At 42.8% G+C, this 26,203-nt stretch overlaps 1 pseudogene across 1 annotated transcript in view; it reads left to right on the plus strand.

The window, feature by feature from the left end:
• Nucleotides 1-26,203, plus strand: part of LOC100287072 (ribosomal protein S6 kinase B1 pseudogene) — a 107,286-nt pseudogene that overhangs the window by 34,123 nt on the left and 46,960 nt on the right. Inside the window, exons 2-4 of the transcript NR_172472.1 lie at nt 10,902-11,083; nt 14,128-14,230; nt 16,870-17,539. The product of NR_172472.1 is annotated as a ribosomal protein S6 kinase B1 pseudogene (transcript). The remainder of the gene's footprint in view (nt 1-10,901; nt 11,084-14,127; nt 14,231-16,869; nt 17,540-26,203) is intronic.

Genomic DNA, 26,203 nt, shown 5'->3' on the forward strand with positions numbered 1-26,203 from the left:
AACCCCGTCTCTACTAAAAATACAAAAAATTAGCTGGGCATGGTGGTGGGTGCCTGTAGTCCCAGCTGCTCAGGAGGCTGAGGCAGGAGGATGGCATGAACCGGGAGGCAGAACTTGCAGTGAGCCGAGATCGCCCCACTTCACTCCAGCCTGGGCAACAGAGCAACACTCTGTCTCAGAAAAAAAAAAAAAAAAAAAAAGGCTGTAGTAAAAATTAATCCTAGAATGTACCCGGTTATTATCTCTGCTAAAATAGTTTGCAATTAAATTAAATGAAGATTAAACTACATGTATTGAAAGACATGAAAGCCCAGTGAGTGAGTCAGTGAAGATGGGAAGTGAATTAACAGTCACAGTTTGTGCAAGAACTTTCCTGTTCCTTCCTCCCCTAGGCACCTCATTATTTAAACATATTCGTTTTACTCAGTTGTCCTACATCTAGGACTAGCCTCCACTCAGCTAACAACTCCTCCCCTCTCATTTCTCCAATTCAGCTCTAGTCCAGAGGAGAAAAGAATAATAAATATCACACTAAACACCATGGAATACTTCTCAAGTCACCAAAGAGGTAAATCAAAAAGTATTATTTGCTATTTTGAACTGGAACAACATGTAAATGTTCCCATCTCTTTTCTTGGCAGATGGAACTGGACAGAATACTTCTGTCCATAAGGCCCTTAGAAGCCTCCTAAGCGAAATACCAGTGAGGACCTCCCCAGCAGCTGCTGTCTCTCCTGCCAGGTAGATGAGCCCCAGGAATAACCACTGCTTATGGTTTGTTTTATATCCCTCTAGATGTTTTTCTTTATACATATGTGTGTGTGTGTCTGTGTCTGTGTGTGTAGAGAGAGGGTGTGTGTTGTGTAAATTGGATTATACTACACATTAGTCCAACACTTACTCATTTCACGTTATCATTGGAATGTGAGCTCCGTGGGGACCAAGATTTTTGTTTATTTTGCTTGCTAACACATCTTTTGTCGATAACAGGGAGTGAAACATGGTCACATCGTGATAGAAGCTCAACAAATATTTGTTGAATGAATAAAGGAATATGTCTGAGACATCTTTACATTGCAACATTTGGAGAAATGATTCCTTTTTGTAAAGGTTACATAATACACATCAATGTATATAGCCATACTTCTACTGATAGATTTTAGGTTACTTGGGGTAAACAATAAAGTGAAGATCCTTATGCAATTTTTTGACCACTAAAGGGGCTATTTCTGCATAAGGGTGGATCAAGATTCATTTGCAAATATGAGAGATCACTGTAGTTAAGCAGAAAGGGATTTAATCCAGGGCATTTGGTACTGGAAGGGCTGGAGAAGGCAGTAGGCTCTGTCCACTGAGCTTCCAGGAAGGGTTCCCAGAGCATCTCAATGCTGGTCCAGTAAAGGAGCTTCTGTTCCTGCCAGAATCAGGAAGTCTTTCTGTAGGTACATGCCCAGGTCCACCACTGCTGCCAAGATCTAGGATCAGCCTTGGGACCACACAGCCACAGGTGCAGTCCATGCCAGCACACCATGCTCTGTGCCTGCCTCATACTGCCCAGAAGATGATGGAACAGACCCAAGAATCTCCACTTCCCTGCCACAGAACAGCAAATGCCTTCCCAGCCATGCTTGCCAGGAGAAGCTGCAGAAGGGCAGCCTTCTACTCCCTGTACCTTCCACATCCTCTGAGAAGGGGCCTGTTTGACAGAAACTAGGCCACTTAATGAGCCAAGCTTTAAGGACTTTGGCAAATACACCCCTTAGCTTTCCAGTCTCATGTAAGTCAGTAAGTCACCCTTCAAAGAGACGAGGATGGAATCAAGTGAGCCTGTCCTGAGATCTTCCACACATTGATTCCTAGAAAAGGAAAATGGAGTCCTAGAAAAGGAAGTGTATTTGACCTGTCCTGGCACGTTGAAAAACTTGATAGACACATTGCCGTCAGTTTACCCTCCCACTCATAGCATGCAAGGTACTGTTTTCCCAGAATTTTCACACTCTATAAATTTTAAAGATTAAGTAAATGAACAATAATAACTTGATTTACTTTGTCCTTCAGTAAGGTTGAGCACTTCATATGTTTACAGACCGTTTATCTATCTTTTATATGTGTGAATGAAAACTTACATACTTTGCCTGTATTTATTTTGAGGTATTAGTCTTTTTCCTATTTGTAAGAAATCTTGATATATTGTGCTTTTTAACTTTTTTATATGTAATGCTATTATTTTCTTTATCTTTGAACTTTGTTTGAAGTTATATTTTACTGAAGAAAAATGTTGCATCTTGTATTCAGTGCTTTCCTTTATGATTTTAAGTGTTTTGTTTCCTGCCTTAAAAAGACCTTTCTAGCTATTAGATTATGAAAATATTCTTCCTTAACATCTTAAAGAAGTCTTTTATTTGTTCAGTCTTAAAACCCATAGAAACATGGGTTTGAATTTAAGTGATCTTTCCCTATCTTAACTGACTTCTGGACTCAGAAGTAAATACTCTTTGAAGGAAGATTACATCATCCAGAACCTCAACTTATAGCCACATTAAAAAAATATATGGTGTCATAGTCAATTTTAAAAATACTAAGTATACAAATAGATAATACCAAATGATGAAAAAAACAAGAGAAAACTAGGCAACAGAAGCAGACACAGGAGATCCAGATATTAGACACGGACTTTAAAACAACTGAGATTAATCCAGTAAAGAAAATAAGTAACAAGGTGGATAATTTCAGCAGAAAACCACAATCTATAAAAAAGAATCCATTAGAAATGTTATAACTTAAAAATAAAATGCCTAAATTTAAGACTCAACAAAGTTTACCTGTAGATTAAACATTTTCAGAGAGGCTTAAGGAACTAAAGACAAGTTGATAGAAATATCTGAACTGAAGCGCAGAGAAAACAAAGAATAGGAAATAGAGAAAAGGACATAAGAGCTATATGGGATGGGGTGAAAAGATCTAATGTGTAATTGGAGTCCCCAAAAGGGAAAACAAGAAAAACAAGACAGATAGGGCAGAAGCAGTATTGGAAGAGATAATGGCCAAGAATTTTGAAAACTAAACAGATGTTAAGCCCTAGATTCAAGAACAACATGAACCGAAAGCAAAGTAAGTGCAAAGAAAACCACCTAGACACATTAGGCTAAAACTGCTAGTAATGAAAGAGAAAGCATTGTAAAAGCACTCAAAGGGAAAAAAGAAACCTTAATATCAAAGGAGCAAGAGCTAAAACTGACATCTGCCTTCTCAACAAAAATGATGGAAGCCAGAAGACAATGCAGTGGCGTCTGCAAAATGCAGAAGGAATGCCTGCTTTCCTAGAATACCGTACTTGGTGAAAATACCCTTCAAAGGTGAACACAAAAGGAAGATGCTTTCAGTACAACAAAAACAGATTTCTTTTTTACCAGTGTACTTGTGATGAAAAGATTATCTTAAAAAGTTCTGCACGAAGTTTGTTCTTTTAAAAGATTATTAAAATTGATGAACCTCTGACGAGGCTGATATAAAGAAAAGGCATAAATTAGCTATATCAGGAATTTTTAAAGGGGTGTATCACTAAAGATCCCATAATTATGAAAACAGTGATGAGGAGATTACAGATTAGTGCTCTGTATAGTACTACTCTATAAATTAGAAAATGTTGATGAAATGGTCAAAATCGTAGAAAAACATCACTTACTAAACTGACATAAAAAGTAGTAGGAAATCCTGATAGTCTGTAATTTAAATAATTTTCTCAAAGGAAATGCCAGGAGGCCCAGATGGTTTCATCATGAAATCTCCCAAACATTTAAGGAAGAAATAACACCAGTCTTATGTATATTCATACAGAGACTAGAAAAAGACTAGAAAAAAGGGTAAACTTTCTTAGATCATTTAAGAGGCCAGTGTATCTTCGATACCTAATTCTTGCAAGGACATTAAAAGACAGGAAAATTAAAAGGTCAGTGTCTCTCATGAACCTCCATGCAAAAATCCAGAACAAAATCTTGGAAAACCTAATTCAGAGATACATTTATTTATTTATTTACTTATTTATTTTTGAGACGGAGTTTCACTCTTGTTGCCCAGGCTGGAGTGCAATGGCACGATCCTGGCTCACCGCAACCTCCGCCTCCCAAGTTCAAGTGATTGTCCTGCCTCAGCCTCCCGAGTAGCTGGGATTACAGCCATGCGCCACCAGGCCTGGCTAATTTTGTATTTTTAGTGGAGGCGGGGTTTCTCCATGTGGGTCAGGCTGGTCTCGAACTCCTGACCTCAGGTGATCTGCCCACCTCGACCCCCAAAGTGCTGGGATTACAGGCGTGAGCCACTGCGCCTGGCCTCAGAGATACATTTAAAAGATCATGTTAAATTGGGTTTATTCGAGGAATGCAAGGTGGTTTTAACTACTGAAACCAACCAGAGTTAATTTACCACATTAACAAAGGTATAAAAAGTATAGTCATCTTATTAGATGATAGGAAAATATGTTCAATAAAGATTAATACCTTTCTTAATGAAAAGTCTTAGAAAACTAGGAATAGAAGGGCAATTCCTTAATCTGATGAAGGGTCTCTATTATATATCTACATCATACATCATACTTAATGGTGAAATATTGGACGCTTTCCCACAAGATTATGAATGAGATAGGAATGCCCCATATTGTCACTTTTGTTCAGCTCATTTCAAAAGCAAGATATAAAACTACTTTTGAAAACTGTACACCATTATATTTACGTGAGACATGGATACATGGAATTGTGTTTAATGCGATGTGGAGTAGGACCTCTAAGGGAAAGAATGCTTTGGAAAACCTCACAATGGCTCTGCTCACTCATGTGCACAGACAGATGTACCAGGATATTCATTTCCTTATGCTTATATCAATATCAATGCCAGTATTGACAGAGAATCGATCAAATAAATTATGGTAATGAAAATAGCTAAAATCTATTGAATGTCTACTATGTACCAGGCCATGTTTTGATTGTTCTAACTGGATTTAACTCTTTTTTTTTTTTTTTTTTTTTTTTTGAGACGGAGTTTTGCTTGTTGCCCTGGCTGGAGTGCAATGGCACCATCTTGGCCCACTGCAACCTCCACCTCCTGGGTTCAAGCAATTCTCCTGCCTCAGCCTCCCAAGTAGCTGGGATTACAGGTCTGCACCACCAGACCCGGCTAATTCTATATTTTTTTAGTAGAGATGGGATTTTACCATGTTGGCCAGGCTGCTCTTGAACTCCTGACCTCAAGTGATCCACCCGCCTCGGCCTCCCAAAGTGCTGGGATTACAGGCATGAGCCACCACACCCGACCAGATTGAACTCATTTAATCCCCCCCAACAATCCTCTGGGGTAGGTACTATTTATATCAGTGCCATTTTATAGATAAAGAAAATGAAGCACAGAGGATGAAGTAACCCAGAGTTGTGCAGCTGGTTGGTGGCTATGTGGCCCCAGAGCCCTGTGCTTGGCCTCTTGTGTAACACTTCCCATGAGAAGCCACCAAAAAGGTTAGAGAATGACCAGTAAGTGAAAGAAGCAAAACGGTATGCAAAGCAATGGAATCCTGTGATAACATTTGTGTTTTTAGAATAACAGAGGGTTTTTCTTCAAGGGTTTTCCTTGAATAATATCACTCTCACCTGCATTCTGAAATGCTTTTTTTTAATGGTGGTAAAACAAATACACCATGAAAACTACCCTCTTAACAAATTTTTAAGTACGGTTAACTATAAGCACAATGTTGTACAGCAGATCTCCAGAAACTTTTTCTAAAATTTCAACTTTATTTCAGATTCAGGGTACATGTGCAGGTTTGTTACATGGGTATATTGTGGGATGCTGAGGTTTGGGGTACAATTGATCCCATCATCCAGGTGGTGAGCATAGTATCCAATAGGTAGTTTTTCAACCTTTGCCCCCCACCCCATTCTACCACTCTCCAATGTCTATTGTTGCCATCTTTTTGTCCTCTAGAACTTTTTTATCTTGCTTGACTGAAACTGTACCCACTGAACAACTCCCCACTTGCCCTCCCCACAACCTCTGGCAGCCACCACTCTACTCTCTGCTTCTGTGAGTTTGACTACTTTAGATTCTTCACTGATACGGTTTCGCTCTGTGTCCCCACCCAAATCTCATCTCGAATTGTAATCTCCATAATCCCCATGTGTCTAGGGAGGGACTTGGTGGGAAGTGATGGGGTCCATTTCCCCCATGCTGTTCTTGTGATAGTGAGTGCTCACGAGATCTGATGGTTTTATAAGTGTTTGACAGTTCCTGGTTTTATAAGTGTTTGACAGTTCCTCCTCCACATGCACTCTGTCTTTCTCTGTCCCCGCCTTCCCCCACCTTCCTCCTGCCACCTTGTGAAGAAGGTGCCTATTTCCCTTTCTACCATGATTGTAAGTCTCCTAAAGCCTCCTCAGCCATGTGAAACTGTGAGTCAATTAAACCTCTTTATAAATTCCCAGTCTCAGGGAAGGTCTTTATAGCCGCGTGAAAACTGACTAATAGTGTAAATTTGTAGCAGTAGAGTCAGGTACTGCTATAAAGATAGCCTGAAAATGTGGAAGTGACTTTGGAACTGGGTAACAGGCAGAGGTTAGAACAGTTTGGAGGGCTCAGAACAAGATAGGAAGATGTGGGAAAGTTTGGAACTTGCTAGAGATTTGTTGAATGGTTTTGACCAAAATGCTGATACGATGTGGAAAATGAAGTCCAGGGTGAGGTGGTCTCAGATGGGGTTGAGGAACTTATTGGGATCTGGAGCAAAGGTCACTCTTGCTGTCTTTTAGCAAAGAGACTGATGGCATTTTGCCCCTGCCTTAGAGATCTGTGGAACTTTGAACTTGAGAGAAATGATCTGAAATTGGAACTTATGTTTCAAAGGGAAGCAGAGCATAAAAGTTTGGAATATTTGCAGCCTGACAGTACAATAGAAATGAAAAACCAACTTTCTGGAGAGATACTCAGACCAGCTGCAGAAATTTACATAACAAGGAGCCGAATGTTAATCACCAAAACAGTGGGAAAAAATGTCCCCAGGACATGTCAGAGATCTTGGTGGCAGCCTGTCCCATCACAGGCCCAGAGACCTAGGAGTTAAAAATGGTTTTGTGGCCTGGGCCCAGGGCCGCCCTGCTCTGTGCAGCCTTGGGACTTGGTGCCCTGTGTCCCAGCTGCTCTAGCTCCAGTGGTGGCTAGAAGGGGCCAATGTACAGCTTGGGCCATTGCTTCAGAGGGTGCAAGCCCCAAGTCTTGGTGGCTTCCATGTGGTGTTGGACCTGTGGGTACACAGAAGTCAAGAACTGAGGTTTAGGAACCTCTGTCTAGATTTCAGAGGATGTATGGAAATGCCTGGATGACCAGGCAGAAGTCTGCTGCAGGGATGGAACCCTCATGGAGATCCCCTGCTAGGGCAGGGCAAAAGAGAAATGTGAGGTTGGTGCCCCCACACAGAACCCCCCTGGGGCACTGCCTAGTGGAGCTGTGAGAAGAGGGACACTGTCCTCCAGACCCCAGAATGGTAGATCCACTGACAGTGTGTACCGTGCACCCAGAAAAACCACAGGCACTCAACACCAGCCCGTGAAAGCAGCTAGAAGGGGTGTTGTACCCTGTAAAGCCACAGGGATGGAGCTGCCGAAGACCATAGGAGCCTACCCCTTGGATCAGTGTGACCTGATGTGAGACATGGAGTCAAGGAGATCGTTTCAGAGCTTTAAGATTTGATGACTGCCCCACTGGGTTTTGGACTTGCCTGGGGCCTGTGGCTTCTTTATTTTGGTCAATTTCTCCCATTTGGAACAGGAGCATTTATTCAATGCCTGTACTCCCATTGTATCTTGGAGGTAACTGACTTGTTTTTATAGCAGTGTGAAGTGGACTAATATACTCACATACATGGAATCATGCAACATTTGTCCTTCTGTGACCGGCTTCTTTGACTTAGCATAATGTCTTCAAGGCTCATTTATGTTGTAGCATGAGACAGGATTTCCTTTTTATGGGTGAATATCTCCATTTTATGGGTAATAATATTCCATTGTATATTATGTACCATCTTTTCTTCATCCATTCATCTGGTGGTGGACACTTGGGTTGCATCCACCTCTTAGCTTTTGTGAATAACACTGCAATGATCATGAGAGTGCAAATATCTCTTTGAGATTCTGTTTTCAATTCTTTGGGATAAATACCTAGAAGTGGCATTGCTGGATCATTTGGTAGTTCTATTGTTATGTTTTTGAGGAACCTCCATACTGTTTTCCATAATGGCTACACCATTGTACGCTCTCATGAACAGTGCACAAGGGTTTCTCTGCCTCCTCACCAGCACTTGTTTTTTTCTGGGTTTTGATGATGGCCTTCCTAACAGGTGTGAGGTGGCATGTCACTGTGGTTTTGATTTGCATTTCCCTGATGATTAGTGATGTTGAGCATCTTTTCATATACTTGTTGGCCATTCAAAATAAAATGCTTTTACACACGTCCTTGAATATACAGAGAACATTCCAGGAAAGATATTCACAAAGCTGATTAGTAATGAGTACTCTTGGGAAGGAGAACTGGGGTGCAGGAGTGAAAGGGAGACTTTCTCTTCACTATTTGCCCTTTTTGTTTCTTTTGAGGATTGTGTCTATTGCATATATTACCTATTTGAATAAATGAGTTAATTAAAAACTCCCCCAGTTATTCCACTGTGTTTAAGAACTGTTGGACACACACACGCGTGTGCACACACACACGCACCTGTGTTGGTGCTGTTCTTGATGTTACAAGCTCACCATTCTGTTGCCCCACTGGTTTTTACAGAGGCATCTGGCTTAGAGCAGTGTGCGGTCGGCCAGCAAAGGGATGACTCAATGCTTGGACCTTCCTGACCTTCCCCTTACAGGTAAATTACATAAACATAAAAGACTTTTGACTTACTGCAGTTTCAACCCCAGAATAATGGACGTGTCATGGACGTTAGATCCAGCAGTGCAGCTGACACAAGGAATAAGTGTCTTATCTCCTGCCAGCTGCACCTCTCAGTGTGCTTGTGCTAGGGAGACAGAAACTTTGTTGCTGATTTTTTTAAAGACATAGGGTCTTGCCTTGTTGCCCAGGCTGGTCTTGAACTCCTGGCCTCAAGCAATCCTCTCACCTAAGCCTCCCAAAGCACTGAGATGTGAACTACCATGCTTGGCCAAAAAAACCATTCTTTTAGTTGCCAAGATGCATACTAAAGTTGAGACCACAACAACTATTGCCCTGAAGTAAATACCTCATTGACAGTACTCCTCACTTAGCCCCCTCCAGGCACCGGTCTGCTTGGATGATTCTATTTACTGTAATAAAGGATCACAGTGACAATTGCTTGCTTCCAGCAATCACCAGAAGTTGCTTGTCAACATTGAGATCATCAGAAGCTGCAGAAACAGGGATTAATGGGCTGTTTTTGTTGTTCTCTTTAGTGATGTAAATACTGTTTTTCTCTGCTATTTAGAGCTAATTAGCCCCACTCCCAACTTTAGTACCCATAATTGGTGGCTGTGAGCTGTAGAAGGATTGTTTTCTTCCGTGACTGTTTGTGGGTCATGGGCAGCAACTGTGGGCCTGGTCTCTGGCTTGCTATGTAGCTCTAAACAAAGCACTTAGTTCTCTCAGCTCCAGTTTCCCCTATAACTATAAACTAGACAATCTTGAAAGGTTTATCCTGTTCTATATTTTTATGGTCCTTTACGAAATATCATCTGACCAGGTATCATGGCATGCTCCTATAGTCCTAGCTACTCAGAAGGCTGAGGTGGGAGGATCACTTGAGCCCAGGAGGTTAAGTCCAAATCCAGCCTAGGCAACATAGCGAAATTCCATATCTAAAAAAGAAAAAGAAATATCACCTGGAGGATTCAGTCTATTTCATTATCTGTTTTGATTGTGACTAATATGACAGCAGAAAGAGCCTTGAAAGAATTAAGGGAGGAGACCACCCCTCATATTGTCTTATGCCCAATTTCTGCCTCCAAAGAAAGAAGAAGTGAAAACTAAAAGGCAGAAATGAAATCCACAGACAGCCCGGCACCACACCCTGGGCCTGGTAGTTAAAAAATCGACCCCTGACCTAATCGGTTATTTGCATAAGAAAAGCACTGTGAAGATCCGTGTCCTGTTGTGTTCTGTTCTAATTACTGGTGTATGCAACCCCCAGTCAGGTACCCCCTGCTTGCTCAATCGATCACGACCCTCTCATGCGGACCCCCTTAGAGTTGTGAGCCCTTAAAAGGGACAGGAATTGCTTACTCAGGGAGCTCGGCTTTTGAGACAGGAGTCTTGCTGATGCTCCCGGACGAATAAACCCCTTCCTTCTTTAACTCAGTGTCTGAGGGGTTTTGTCTGCAGCTCTTATCTGCTACAGAATGATTTCTGCTTTTTTATTGAACCAGGCCCTGTGGCTGGAATGGCCTTTCTCACGTAAAAAGGTTCTTCTTGGTTCCCAGTTTCCTTCTTGCCTGCCGCTGCCTGTGACCTGGTCATCACATGAGGCATTTTCCTGCCACTCTCTCTCTCTCTGATGTCTGTCAATTAAAACATTACCTGGGGGCAGGTAATGTCTTTCCCCAGGTAAGGGCAATTTCATAAGGCCCTTAGAAAGGTGCATGCTGGGTTTAATGCTCTGATGACATCGTCTTGAAATTCACAATAATTTTTGAACAAGGGTTGATTTGCATATAGATCCTATAAAGGAAGTGGTGGTCCTGCCTGGAGAATCCACGTCCCTATTGCATTTTCATTACATCGGAAGCATATATATGTTTATACTTGAGGATAAAATGAGAACTGTGTTGTACTGGAGAATGATGTTTGATGGCAATTAAGAGCCTCTTCTTCAGGAATAGGTGATTATGTGGTCGTTCCCACAGATCTTCGAAAGGGAAGGACCTAGGAACTGAAGCCAGACCCCCACCTCTGCAAGAGTTCCTTGCTGGAGTCACTCAGCAGACCCCCACTCTCTGGACTTTGGGGACATGAGACTGCTGAGCACCTCCACCAGAGGGAAAGTGGAAGTGGCCCCAAGAAAGAGGGAACCACGAAGCAGTTTCAGGTATCATGTCTCAAACAGTAAGAAATCAGAAAAACATAGGGCTTATCAGCTTTGATTGTTCCTTCTGTTTTGTCCTCCTGGACAATTGACTTCGACAAATATTTGCTGCATGAAAATAATTAAGATGCAGTGCCCGTCTTCAGTGAGTTTAAAAGGAAGATGCTGGACAGTAAGTAGTGTCAAGATGAAATTAAGAGCTGTAAAAATACAATACTAAATAGGCAAAGTACTTGAGAGTTGTTAGTTGGCATAAGAAGTGTAGAGAGAAGTAGAAGTTCAGGGAATGTGGGTGGTAATGTGTGTCTGGACTAGACTGTGGGCTTCCTAAGGCCAGGGACTCTGCCATATATATGCATGGTAGGCTCTCTGTCAGTATTTGTTGGGTGGATGGATAGGTGACTAGGACATTCCAGCTGGAAGGCAGGTTGGAGCCATATTGCAAATCTTCATTGCTAAGGAAGAGGTTTGTGCTTTGTTTTGATAAAGCACTGAGGAGCCACCAAGTTTGTGGGATTTTGTTCCTGTTTTTGAGTTATGGTACAGTGAGATTGGACCCATATTTTAAGGAGGAGTCATGAGAAAACAGTGGCATGTAAGGATTAGAGAGGTATTTTGAAATCAGTGTTTAAGGAGGACTTTTGCAGGGATGTGAAGGAGGGCTTGGCAGAGGGCAGGACTGCAAGGCCAACAGGGTGGTCACTAAGAGCTGGTCTTTGCTGCCACACCTCTGTCACCTCCTCCCTTTTCAGTGCCCCTGGTCACCCAGGTTACAGCAAACCTCTTTCAACTGTTTCCTCTCTCATGTCTTCCTGCTTCTTCATGTTGGTTGATCTTCTGAAGCACTGAGCACATACTGCTGCAGACCTTGCAGAAATTTCCCATGACTCTGTCCTCTGCACTCCTCATCCTGATCTTCTAGATGCTCCACTACTTAGCACCACCCCTGCCCACCTGCCAGAATGGCCCAGCCTCTCCCTCCACCTGAACCTGTTTTAGTCCGTGCCATAGCAATATTGCACAAGCATATTTGAGTGTAAGTCTTTGTGTATAAGGTTCTAACTTGAATTGTCCTCCTTTTGTCCTTTCACACTCTAAATACTGTTCTCTTTATTTAAAGGTCAAAACTTTCATGAAGTTATAGCTAACACCTGGCAGCATTGACATCTCCCTTCTCCCTTCTTTTTTCTTTTTCTTTTCTTTTTTTTTTTTTTTGAGACAGATCCTCACTCTGTCACCAAGGCTGGAGTACAGTGGCATGATCTGGGCTCACTGGAACCTCTGCCTCCTGGGTTCAAGTGATTCTCATGCCTCAGCCTCCTGAGTAGCTGGGATTATAAAGGCATGCACCATGACACCCAGCTAATTTTTGTATTTTTTTTAGTAGAGACAGGATTTCACCATTTTGGCTAGGCTGGTCTCAAACTCCTGATCTGCCCACTTCAGCCTCCCAAAACGCTGGGATTGCAGGTGTGAGCCTCCATTCCTGGCCAACATCTCCCTTCTCTGACTTTGGTGTCTTACGCTATTTCAGGTGTTTAATTTCTGTACTGCTTTGTGGTGTGGATAACTTCTGCACAATATATGCCTTAATCTCCATTTATGCTGTAATTTAGTGGACAGTAAATGTTCAGCTTACCTTTGGTATCTCTCCCAGCCCCTTGCATTGTGCAACACACATAACATTTCACTCAGTAAAACTTACGAATGAGTATGCTCATTCATATACAATATGAATGTATTGTTTATTTATCAGTATACAAAATTGGCTACTTTTGGAGTAATAGCTTTTTTTTTTTTTTTTTTTTGGGAGACAGAGTCTCACTGCAACCTCTGCCTCGGGTTCAAGCAATTCTCCTGCCTCAGCCTCCTAAGTAGCTAGTAGTAGCTTTTTAATACATATTATCATTACTAATAAGGGTACTATCAAAGGATTTATGAAAGTCTGAATGAATAAGCTAGGACTTATTGTTATACCTTTGGATGTAGCCTATATTTGCACGCAAATAGATGAAGTCATATATTTTAGAGGTTTAATTTAAAGCCCCAGATATTACATATTGTCCTGTTTATGTGCGCGAGATTTAAATAATCAAAAGAGGTTTTAAAAACCAGAATTAGTGCTATTCTAAAATTCTCCTTTTCATTATACCAGAAATGCATACAGGAAGGCTATGGGTATATTAATATGCTACTGATATTTTATCTTTCATAGTGAAAAGTTAAATTAGTAAAATCAATTTATTTCAATTTTACATTTATCTCATTGAGATAAAGCAATGGCAGGATATCTGGTATTTTTAATATGCCCTTCCAATATACCTTGAAAAATTTTTTTTTATTTTTTAGAGATGGGGGTCTCGCTCTGTTGCCCAGGCTGGAGTGCAGTGGTATAATCATAATTCACTACATCCTTGAACTGGCCTCAAGCAGTCCTCCCACCTCAGCCTCCTGAATAGCTGGGACTACAGGTGTGCGCTACCATGCCCAGCTTATTTATTTATTTATTTATTTATTTATTTATTTCAGAGTTGAGGTCTCACTATGTTTCCCAGGCTGGTTTCAAGCTCCTGGGCTCAGGTAATCCTCCTGCCTCAGCTTTCCAAAGTGCTGGGATTACAGGCGTGAGCCACTGTGCTGTGCCAGTCTCTACCTTTTAAATTTATTTAGATACTGATGTAGTCTTGAAAGCTGTAGAATGCTTTTGTATAGATATCCTTAATTCAAATGAGATTGAATTAAAGGTTCTAGCCTGAATTATATTTACACAAATAAAAGACTAGATGGATGAGCAACAGATGGATTTTAAAACAAAATGTAGCAAAACTCTCCCCAGACTCATGACAGTCAGGAGGCACAATTTCATGTTTGTTTCACACTGTGAGACATCAAATACATTATTAATGTAACTAATGTGGTTGTTTCTTCAGATTCTGGCTGAATAAACCAGACATTTGCTTTTCTAAAGTAGGTATTTATTTCTTGTGAATTTGAGGATTCTAAACATTAGCATCTTCTCCTTAACATGTGCTCTTCTCTCTAACCAGTGTGGAAAGAAGAAACCCTCTGGTGGCCTTGGCCCGGGAATATGGCGGTTTCAAGTGCAATGCTGTACTGAAATGGTACCAGAAGAAGACAGAAGGTTACATGGTAAGGGACAATGTCAGCCAGCTTCCACCAGCCCTGGGCAGTAGTAGGCCTGTGCCAGTACATGTTCCATGTGTGCCTGTGCTTGGTGGACCAATATGCATGTAATTATCATCTTTCTGTTCTCCTAGACAGAGAGGCATATGCAACGGGAAGCCAGTTTGCACTCCACCCACCAAACATATGGGTGCATGCAGAGCTGCATCTCCCTAGGGAAGGGGGACCTTTTCCTTTGCTCAAAGTGTTACCGATCATGGGTTCTTAGGCTCTTGATGCAATAGAAATTCTCACCAGGCCAAAAGAGTTTTCCTAGCAAGGCTTTATTGGAGCATATGCCCAGGCACAAGGGAGGAAGCACAGGAGAGGGAGGATTCTCTGGCTGACTCCCTGAAATGAGCTGATAGGGATTTCTTTTATTAGGCAATGTGCGGAAATTGATGTCAAGGTAGGGAATGCGGGCTGGGCAGGGTAGAGAACGTGAGGGGGAGGGGACATGGGTCAGCTTATCTGCTGGCAATGGTTGTCTTGAGTAATGGGCCATCTGGTGCTCTGGTTAGTGGCAGCAAGGCTGTATGAATCAGTTGTTTAGCATTCCTTCCTGAGGTGGGATACTTGCAACCTTGGTTGGATATTTTGGATCTCCTAAGGCCAGTTCCTGTAATCCTTTAAGTAAAAGGCAAGGTTTAACATTATGAGAGCACCGAAGAACAATATAGAATGGCTGTTTTCTTTGCGTGACTGTTAGTGGGTATGGCGTCAGTGAGGTAGTGGTGTGGGTTTTGTGATCAGTGGGAATGCATGAAAGAATGCTGTAGTGGGGCCTCCACCCAAGGAGACAGCTTTTGCTAAATTACACTCCCAAAGAAGAGTGCTTTGCCTAATTCATATAAAGGCCCTACATAAATGAGCCTCCAAAACTTCTCCAAATATTTTCTTTCTGTTGCTTTCAGAGTTGTTTGCATTTAGTTTAAAGAGTTTTTGTTTACTACGACAGTATCTGTTTTCTGTTCAGAAAAGGAATTAATACCTGGTATAAGTTTAAGTTTTTTGTGCGTGTGAAACACTATACACAAAGATAAAAATGCACAAAATATAAACTATAGTGTTTTTTGTTGTTGTTGTTGTTTAAGAGACGGAGTCTCATTCTGTTGCCCAGGCTGGAGTGCAGTGGCGTGATCTCGGCTCACTGCAACCTCTGCCTCCCGGGTTCAAGCAATTCTCCTGCCTCGACCTCCGGAGTAGCTGGGATTACAGTCGTGAGCCACCACACCTGGTTAATTTTTGTATTGTTACTAGAGATGGGGTTTCACCGTGTTGGCCAGGCTGGTCTCAAACTCCTGTCCTCAGGTGATCCACCTACCTCAGCCTCCCAAAGTCCTGGGATTACAGGCATGAGCCACCACTCCTGGCCTCAAATGATAGTCTCTTGAACTAGGAGGAAGTGAAAAGTCACACAGTCACCACTCACATCCAGAAGAAGAGCATCGCCAGCTCCCACAGACCTTTCCTACAACTTTCCCATCATAACCCCTCACTACTCCCTAAGATAACCATTGTCCTCAATTATTCTCCTTATGGATTTTCACAAAAGTATGCAGCCCTGAATATTATGTTAGTATTGCTTGCATTTGAATTTTATTATAAATGGAATTTTAAAAACTGTGTAATTTTGCATGTTTTTTTTTTTTTTTTGGTTTTAGGGAGCGGAAAGTTTAATAGGCAAGAAGGATGGGAGAAGGCAGAAAATGGAGGCTCCCCTGTACAGAGACAGAGGGAGGGGAGCTTTTTTTTACACAGTATTGAATCAGTGAGATTTATTCATGTTGTCACCTATACTGTAATTTGTTCATTTTCTTCACCATTTAGTAACCCATTGTAGGATTATAGCATTATTTAGTTACCCATTCTATTATTGATAGATCGTTGAGTCAAGTCCAGTTTGGGGCTAAGGTGAATAGCGCTGTTATGTTCATGTCGATGTCTCTTGAAACACATATGTGCTTGTTCCTGTTGGTTACATCCTTCAGAATGGAATTCCTGGGCCTTAGGGTATGCATACATTCTAGGATAGTACCAAACAGATGCCTGAAATATTTGTATAATTTATGTCTTTTCAGCAATTTATGAGAGGTCAATTTCTGTGCATTTTCATCAACACTTGGTAGCATCAGTCTTTTTACTGGAGGTCATGTGGGTAATGTGTAGTAGTGTCTCATTGTGGTTTTGATTTGCATTTTTCTTTTGGCAGTGGAGATTGAGCACCTTTTCATATGCAAATTGGCCATGTGGATAGTCCCTTTTGGGATGCACCTGCTCAGGTTTTTTGCCCACTTTGTTTGTTTGGTGGTGGGGAGCGGGGGTATTGGCTCTGTAAACAGCATATGAACTTTTGTCCATTTTAAGAATCAGATGTCATTCTCTTCCTTATTGCTTTTAAGAATTCTTTATATATTCTCCATGTAAGTCCTTTGTCAAATACATATATGGCAAATACCTTCTTCCAGTGTGCCTTAAATTTTCTTCTTTTGGCTCTGCCTCTGCCTCTGCCGCTGCCGCTGCCGCTGCCGCTGCCGCTGCCTCTCTTTCCACAGTCTCCCTCTGATGCCGAGCCAAAGCTGGACCCTCTGCCTCTCTTTCCACAGTCTCCCTCTGATGCCGAGCCAAAGCTGGACTGTACTGCTGCCATCTCAGCTCACTGCAACCTCCCTGCCAGATTCTCCTGCCTCAGCCTGCCGAGTGCCTGCGATTGCAGGCGCGCGCCGCCACGCCTGACTGGTTTTCGTATTTTTTTGGTGGAGACGGGGTTTCGCTGTGTTGGCCGGGCTGGTCTCCAGCTCCTAACCGCGAGTGATCCGCCAGCCTCGGCCTCCCGAGGTGCCGGGATGGCAGACGGAGTCGCGTTCACTCAGTGCTCAATGGTGCCCAGGCTGGAGTGCAGTGGCGTGATCTCGGCTCGCTACAACCTCCACCTCCCAGCTGCCTGCCTTGGCCCCCCAAAGTGCCGAGATTGCAGCCTCTGCCCGGCCGCCACCCCGTCTGGGAAGTGAGGAGCATCTCTGCCTGGCCGCCCATCGTCTGGGATGTGAGGAGCCTCTCTGCCTGGCTGCCCAGTCTGGAAAGTGAGGAGCGTCTCTGCCCGGCCGCCATCCCATCTAGGAAGTGAGGAGCGTCTCTGCCAGGCCGCCCATGGTCTGAGATGTGGGGAGCGCCTCTGCCCTGCCGCCCCATCTGGGATGTGAGGAGTGTCTCTGCCCGGCCGCCCCGTCTGAGAAGTGAGGAGACCCTCTGCCTGGCAACCGCCCCGTCTGAGAAGTGAGGAGCCCCTCCGCCCGGCAGCCACTCTGTCTGGGAAGTGAGGAGCGTCTCCGCCCGGCAGCCACCCCGTCCGGGAGGGAGGTGGGGGTCAGCCCCCTGCCCGGCCAGCCGCCCCATCGGGAAGGGAGGCGGGGGGGGTCAGCCCGCTGCCCGGCCAGCCGCCCCATCCGGGAGGGAGGTGGGGAGGTCAGCCCCCCGCCCGGCCAGCCGCCCCGTCCGGGAGGGAGGTGGGGGGGTCAGCCCCCCGCCCGGCCAGCCGCCCCGTCTGGGAGGTGAGGGGCGCCTCTGCCCGGCCGCCCCTACTGGGAAGTGAGGAGCCCCTCTGCCCGGCCAGCCGCCCTGTCCGGGAGGGAGGTGGGGGGGTCAGCCCCCCGCCCACCCAGCCGCCCCGTCCGGGAGGTGAGGGGCGCCTCTGCCCGGCCGCCCCTACTGGGAAGTGAGGAGCCCCTCTGCCCGGCCACCACCCCGTCTGGGAGGTGTACTCAACAGCTCATTGAGAACGGGTCATGATGACAATGGCAGTTTTGTGGAATAGAAAGGGGGGAAAGGTGGGGAAAAGATTGAGAAATCGGATGGTTGCCGTGTCTGTGTAGAAAGAGGTAGACGTGGGAGACTTTTCATTTTGTTCTGTACTAAGAAAAATTCTTCTGCCTTGGGATCCTGTTGATCTGTGACCTTACCCCCAACCCTGTGCTCTCTGAAACATGTGCTGTGTCCACTCAGGGTTGAATGGATTAAGGGCGGTGCAAGATGTGCTTTGTTAAACAGATGCTTGAAGGCAGCACGCTCCTTAAGAGTCATCACCACTCCCTAATCTCAAGCACCCAGGGACACAAACACTGCGGAAGGCTGCAGGGTCCTCTGCCTAGGAAAACCAGAGACCTTTGTTCACTTGTTTATCTGCTGACCTTCCCTCCACTATTGTCCTGTGACCCTGCCAAATCCCCCTCTGCGAGAAACACCCAAGAATGATCAATTAAAAAAAAAAAAAATTTCTTCTTTTGATGAACAAAGTTCTTAATTTTAATTAAGTCTAATTTATCAGTCTTTCCTCTAATGGTTAGTGCTTGTTGTATTCTGTATAAGAAATTGTTTATTCATGGCCGGGTGTGGTGGCTCACGCCTGTAATCCCAGCACTTTGGGAGGCCGAGGCGGGCGGATAACAAGGTCAGGAGATTGAGACCATCCTGGCTAACACAGTGAAATCCCGTTCTCTACTAAAAATACAAAAAAAAAAAAAAAAAATTAGCTGGGCGTAGTGGCAGGCACCTGTAGTCCCGGCTGCTCGGGAGGCTGAGGCAGGAGAATGGCATGAACCCAGGAGGTGGAGGTTGCAGTGAGCTGAGATCATGCCACTGCACTCCAGCCTGGGCGACAGAGTGAGACTCCATCTCAAAAAAAAAAATACAAAAAAACCCCACCAAATAGCACATTTTTAAAGGGTATGTTTTGTGGTGTGTGATTTATGTACCAATAAGTTATTTATTTAAAAATAATAAATATAGTTTGAAGGGCTTAAGTAGAGGGATGAGGAAGATGTTGGGAGGGAGTACATCGGGTGGAGTAGGAGCTGCCATTTAAATTATAAATATTATCAAACTATAACTTAAAAAATTTACATGTATTACTTTGTATATTAAAAAATAATTGAAGGCCAGGCACAGTGGCTCATGCCTGCAATCCCAGCACTTTGGGAGCCCGAGGTGGGTGGATCCCCTCAGGTCAGGAGTTCGAGACTAGCCTGGCCAACATGGTGAAAACCCGTCTCTACTAAAAATATAAAAATTAGCCAGGCGTGGTGACGCACAACTGTAATCCCAGCTACTCGGGAGGCTGAGGCACTAGAATTGCTCAAACTCAGGAGGCAGTGGTGGCAGTGAGCCAGAATCACGCCACTGCACTGTAGCCTGGGTGACAGAACGAGACTCCATCTCAAATAATAATAATAATAATAATTATTATTATTATTGAAGCAAAACAATAAAGTAGAAGAGATAGATGCAAGTTATTAGTAATCTAGTTTTTACTTGGGAGGCAGGATTCACAAGTATTTATTTTGTTATTATCATTCATAATCCAAGCATATTCTTTGTATCAAAGGTTATATTATGACCTACGATTTGGAGGTGGAAAATCTGAAGGAAAGGCCATGAAGAAGTATTGTGGTTAATAATTAAACCAGATGCTTTCTGAGAAAAGATTTAAAAGGGAGAAATAAAACCCCTGAGGAGGGTGCTCTCCTGGGATGACAGCGTCAGGAATGGACCTGAGGGGCCTCTTGAGCTGGGCACAATCCACAGTGCTGCTGTCCCACTTCACAGCCCTGTGACAATTCACAAGTCAGTTATTTCTTCCTAAACTGTTACTTTTTGAATTAAAATACACACATAAAAGAGTGATAAAAACATTTTTCAGAAAAATGGCATTTTTCCAAGTGGCTTACCTAAAAATGCCCTTAGCCTGAATTACATATACTGTGTTATAACTCAGAATTTTCTCATTTTGACATGGTCCCTTCTTATTTTATAAAGATAATACAAGTGATCATTTTATGTCATCAAAGCTTTTGCAATTTGAAATAGTAATGATGTGAGTGATACTGTTAAACTAGATTTAAGTCTTGAGTCAGATGAATGGCAAATCCAGCCCACCACATGTTTTTGTAAATAAGTTTCGTAAGCACACAGCTCCACACATTCATTTACATATTCTCTAGAACTGTTTTTTGCTGCAACTGCAGAGCTGAGTAGTTGCAACAGAAATTTTTCAGTTAGATGACCTACCAAACTGAAATTATTTACAATTTGACCCTTTATAGAAAAAATTTACTTAGATGAAGATATATATTAGGTTGGTGTAAAGTAATTGCGTTTTTTCCCATTAACTGCAATTACTTTTGCACCAACCTAATACACATGTTCCTTAGATGAAGATACATGCAAGTATCTCCTGTAGTTCAAATCCTATTTGGGGCCTGGCAGGGTGGCTCACACCAGTAATCCCAGCACTTTGGGAGGCCAAGGCAGACAGATCCCTTGAGCCCAGGAGTTCGAGACCAGGCTGGGCATACCAAAAAAGTTAGCTGATTGTGGTGGCACATACCTGTAGTCCCAGCTACTTGGAAGGCTGAGGCAGGAGGATAGCTTGAGCCCAGGAGGCAGAGGTTGCAGTGAGCCAAGATCGCGCTACTGCACTCCATCCTGGATGACAGAGTGTTATCCAAACTGAATCTTGTTTTAAATCTGGAAAGAACACCCACGTTGCAGGCAAATTGTTTTTCTGTCTCTGAGTTCTCACAGACAAGCACTAAAATCTGCTTAGCCAACAGCAAGCAACCCCTGAAATATCACCCCACCTGGGGCTCTGTTTCTTGTCTTTTTTGAGAGAGGTCTCTTGAAGGCTACATGCACAATTCAAAAAACATAAATCCTTTGACTTATTTATTGCCATCAGAGTGGTCCTTTCCCTGACTTCGTTGTGAAGATAGAGCCCCAATAGTAGATGCGCGGCACTGTGGGCTTCCACTCTATTGAGGCCTTTTCTACCTGCTCTCCCTGCTTCTGTGCCGTTTCTGACACAGTGGCTTCTGAAGTGGTACAGGCATTGTGCTACAACCTAACAGTGGAGTTTGTTTGAAAATGAAGACGAAGGGCTCTCCCGTGTTGTGGGAGACACAGTCCTCTCCTGATGGCCATGTTTCTGGTTGGTTTTCTGTCATGAGCCAGTGTGCTCTGGGGCACCCTGCTCCCACTGTTACTGGTGTGTGCACTCCCAGAGGTATGAAACTTTGAGGAATAAAAATGGCTTTCTGAACAAAAATATCAAACAGTGTAGAGACCTGTCAGATTGTTCGCACAGCAGATGGGGAGGGACGCGTTCTCCCACTTTAATGTACACAAACACCAGAGAAGTAGCCCCAACAAGTCTAAGCTGGGCCCATCAGCCTCTTCCTCGGGAATTTTGGAAATAAAACTGAGTAAGATCACCTTAAAATACAAAGCCCAGATGCTGTTGGCAGGCATGTTTTTGCCTCTGTGCAGAAAATAGTTAACCCAGGAGGCCTGGGATGGCTCTCCTTAGCAAGGCTGCTTGCAAGGCTGGCCCTTGGCTGGAGTCTGAGAACTAGGATTACAGGAGGGTTCACACCATTCCCAGAACTGATGAGAGGGGCTCACGGTGCTGAAACTGTTTGTGCAAACACGTGGTTTGTGCTGAACAGCGGCTTATCTGTGAGGAGTCTGGAATGTGGTATATGCTGGGCAGAAGGGGCCCATGTGACCAGCCCCTGATAAAAACGCTGGATGCAGAGTCCCTAATGAGCTTCTCTCAATTAATTAATTAATTCCTTGGGGGAATTAAACGTGCCTGTGACTGCTGGAGAGGACTCTTGGAAGCTCATGCCTCTGGACTTAATGCCCTGCGCCTTTTCCCTTTGCGGATATGGCTTTGTGTCCTTTCACTGTAATAAATTTGTGCATAGCTGTGGCCATGACTTCATGCTGCGTCCTGTAGGTCCTCCCTCTGATCATTGAACATGGGCTTTTTCTTGAGCCTTAAAAAGGAGTAAGGCACTGACACAGGCTGCAGTATGAATGTTCGCTGAAGACGTGTTGCCAGGTGAAACAGCTGGGTGCAAAGGCTACATCTTGTTCGAGTCCATTTATAAGAAAAATCCAGAATAGGCAAATCCACAGAAACAGAAAGCAGATGAGTGGTTGCCAGGGGCTGAGGAGAGAGGGGAATAGAGAGTGGGGTGGCTGCTTAGTGGGTACAGTTTTCTATTGTGTGATGAAAATGTTCTGGACTAGTGATGGTCGCACAACATTGGGAATGTACTAAAAGCCACTGAACTATACACTTTAAACTGGTTTAAATATACAAATTTGGTTCCATTGGTCTTTTATACCAGTACAATGCCGTTTTGGTAACTAGTATAATTTGAAGTCCAGTAATATGATGCCTCCAGATTTGTTCTTTTTGGTTAGGATCGCTTTGGCTATTCAGGCTCTTTTTTGGTTCCATATGAATTTTGGGATTATTTTTTCTAAATCTGTGAAAAATGATGGTATTTGGATGGGAATTTCATTCAGCAGATTGTAGATTGCTTTGGGCAGTATGATCATTTTCACAATGTTGATTCTATGAGCATGGGATGTGTTTCCATTTGTTTGTGTCATCTATAATTTCAGCAGTGTTTTGTGGTTCTTGTACAGATCTTTCACCTCCTTGGTTAAATATATTCCTAGGTTTTTGTTTTTGTTTTTGTTTTGCAGCTGCTGTAAAAGGGATTGAGTTCTTGATTGATTCTCAGCTTCGTCGTTGTTGGTGTATAGCAGTGGTACTTCTTTGTGTACATTGATTTTGTAACCTGAGACTTGACTGTATTTGTTTATGAAATCTAAGAGTCTCATGGAAGAGTCTTTAGGATTTTCAAGGTATATGATCATATCATCTGCAAATAGAGAGAGTATGACTCCTCTTTTCCAATCCGGATACGCTTTATTTATTTCTCTTGCCTAATTGCTCTGGCTAGGAGTTCCAGAACTATGTTGAATAGGATTGGTGAAAGTGGGCATCCTTGTCTTGTTCGTGTTCTCATGGGGAATGTGTTCAACTTTTCCCCATTCAGTATTACGCTGGTTGTGGGTTTGTCGTATATCCACATATATATTATTTTGAGGCAAGTTCTTTTATGCCTAGTTGTTAAGAGCTTTTATCACAAAGAGATGCTGAACTTTGTCGAATGTTATTTCCGCATCTATTGAGATGATCATATGGTTTTTGTTTTTAATTCTGTTTATGCGATGTCACATTTATTGACTTGTGTATCTATCACCTTATACAAAAAATCAACTCAAGATGTATCAAAGACTTAAATATAAGACTTGAAACCATAAAAATTTTAGAAGACAATTTGGAAAACTCTTCTAGACTTCAACCTAGGCGAAGAATCCATGACTAAGACCCCAAAAGCAAATGCAACAAAAACAAAAATAAGTAAATGGGACCTAATTAAACTAAAAAGCTCTTTACAGCAAAAGAAATAATAATCAGAGTAAACAGACAACCCACAGAATGGGAGAAAATATTTGCAAACTACAGTCCAACAAAGGACTAGTATCCAGAATCTACAAGGAACTCAAACAAATCAGCAAGTAAAAAACAAGTAATCCTATCAGAAAGTGGGCAAAGGACATGAATAGACATTTCTCAAAGGAAGATATACAAATGGCCAAGAAACATGTGAAAAAAATACTCAACATCGCTAATCATTAGGGAAATGCAAAATAAAACCACAATGAGAGACCACCTTACTCCTGCAAGAATGGCCATTATTAAAAAGTCAAGAAACAATAAATGTTGGCGTGGATGTGGGGAAAAGGGAACGCTTATACACTACTGGTGGTAATGTAAATTAATACAACCTCTTTGGAAAATAGTATGGATATTCCTTAAAGAACTAGAAATAGATCTACCATTTAATTCAACAATCCCACTACTGGGTATCTACCCAAAGGAAAAGAAGTTATTATATGGAAAAGACACACATGCATGTTTATAGCAGCACATTCACAGTTGCAAAGATGTGTAACCAACCTAAGTGCCCATTGACTAATGAGTGGATAAAGAAAATGTGACTATATATATATATACATATACACACACACACACACATACATATATACATACACACACACACACACCATGGAATACTACTTAACCATAAAAAGGAATGAAATAATGTCTTGTGCAACAACTTGGATGGAGCTGGAGGCCATTATTCTAAATGAAGTAACACAGGAGTGGAAAATCAAAAATCGTATGTTCTCACTCATGAGTGGGAGCTAAGCTGTGGGTATGCAAAGGCATACAGAGTGGTATGGTAGACTTTAGAGACTCATAAGGGAAAGGTAGGGAGGGGGATTAATTTTTTTTAATAAAGTAAAATATATGTATTTTACCCTATTTTTTAAAAGTGTCGTGGCTGGGCACAGTGGCTCACTCCTGTAATCTCAGCACATTAGGAGGCCAAGGTGGGAGGATTACTTAAGGCCAGGAGTTTGAAACCAGCCTAGGCAACATCATGAGACCCTGTGTCTACCAAAAAAAAAATAATAATAACAACCAGGTGTGGTGGCATGAACCTCTGTAGTACCAGCTACTTAAGAGGCTAAAGATGGAGAATGACTTGAGCCCAAGAGTTCAAGGCTGCAGTGAACTATGATCGTGCTACCCTAGTCCAGTCTGAGCAACAAAGAGAGACACCATCTCTGGGGATAAAAAATGGCCATAATGATGAATATCACTTATCGTGCCTTTTTATGCTTGTGCTAAATAGTTGTGAAATACTGCTAAATTTTTGTAAAATAAGTTCCTAGAAGTGAATTTGCTTTGCAAAAGGTTGTGTTATACTTTCCATTTTAATATATATTCTCAAATTGCTCTCCTGTAAGGCTATTTAGTTTACACTTCTCTACACAATGTGCAAGATTATACACATTCCCAATACTGGATACATGTTTGATCTTGTTCAGCCTAAGAGGAGAAAATGGCATTCCTTTTAATTCTTCATTGTAGATGAAAGTGAAGCACTTTTTATCAGTTTGTTAGTCATTTACATCTTTCTTCTGTGAATTACTAGTACAGTTGCTTTGCTTGCTTTTCTGTTTGCATGTTCTTCTTTTTTCCTCAAAATTTGCAACAGTTTTTTGTTTTGTGTTGTTTTTTATTTCTAAGAAAGCTCTGTGTTCCCATAATCAAGTCTGCAGAGATCCTGATAAGCAAAGCAGTCAGCCTGGCCTGAGAGCTCTGCTTCCTGCTCCCCAGAGTCAAGTGTTTTCAAGTCACCTTGCTGATTTTTTGGCATTTACCTCTACATTGCTAAATAGCATGCTTATCACTGCTGTTTCTAGTTTTTCATTTTAGATGTTATATTTTGATCTCCTACTGTGAAAGATGAGGATTTCTTTTCTGCCCCCAGCCTCCGTGCTTCCTGTCTTTGCATTCTCTCATTGTGGTTTTGTGTACCTGGAGTTCACATTAAGATGCTGTGAGTGTCATTCATAGATTAGCCATGTAGTAGTATACACTGCTGCTGCTTTTTCTTTTACACAACCTTTTATTCACCCTCCACCTAAAATTATTTTTGTCTGTTTACTTAGTTTTCTTTTGCTTTTTTTTGAGACGGAGTCTCACTCTGTCGCCAGGCTGGAGTGCTATGGCACGATCTCAGTTCACTGCATCCTCCTACTCCTGGATTCAAGTGATTCTCCTGCCTCAGCCTCCCAAGTAGCTGGGATTACAGGCACATGCCACCACATCCAGCTAATTTTTGTATTTTTAGTAGACGGAGTTTCACCATGTTGGCCAGGATGGTCTCGAACTTCTGACGTCAGGTAATCCACCCGCCTCGGCCTCCCAAAGTGCTGGAATTACAGGCATGAGCCACCACACCCAGCCTGTTTACTTAGTTTTCTATGTAAATGTCACTAATTCAACCCCAACTCTTTGTGAGATATCCCCACACATCACAGGGGTCAGGGATCACAGCAGTGTCATCTTGAGATCTCTCTGGAGCCTCTGACCTCCTCCATCATGGCTGCCCTCTGTGCCTGGTGCACAGATTCCCTGTTAGTTCTTTGCCTCTCTCTTTTTTGATC

Source organism: Homo sapiens, chromosome 17 (assembly GCF_000001405.40).
Source record: "Homo sapiens chromosome 17, GRCh38.p14 Primary Assembly".
Taxonomy (NCBI): Eukaryota; Metazoa; Chordata; class Mammalia; order Primates; family Hominidae; genus Homo; species Homo sapiens.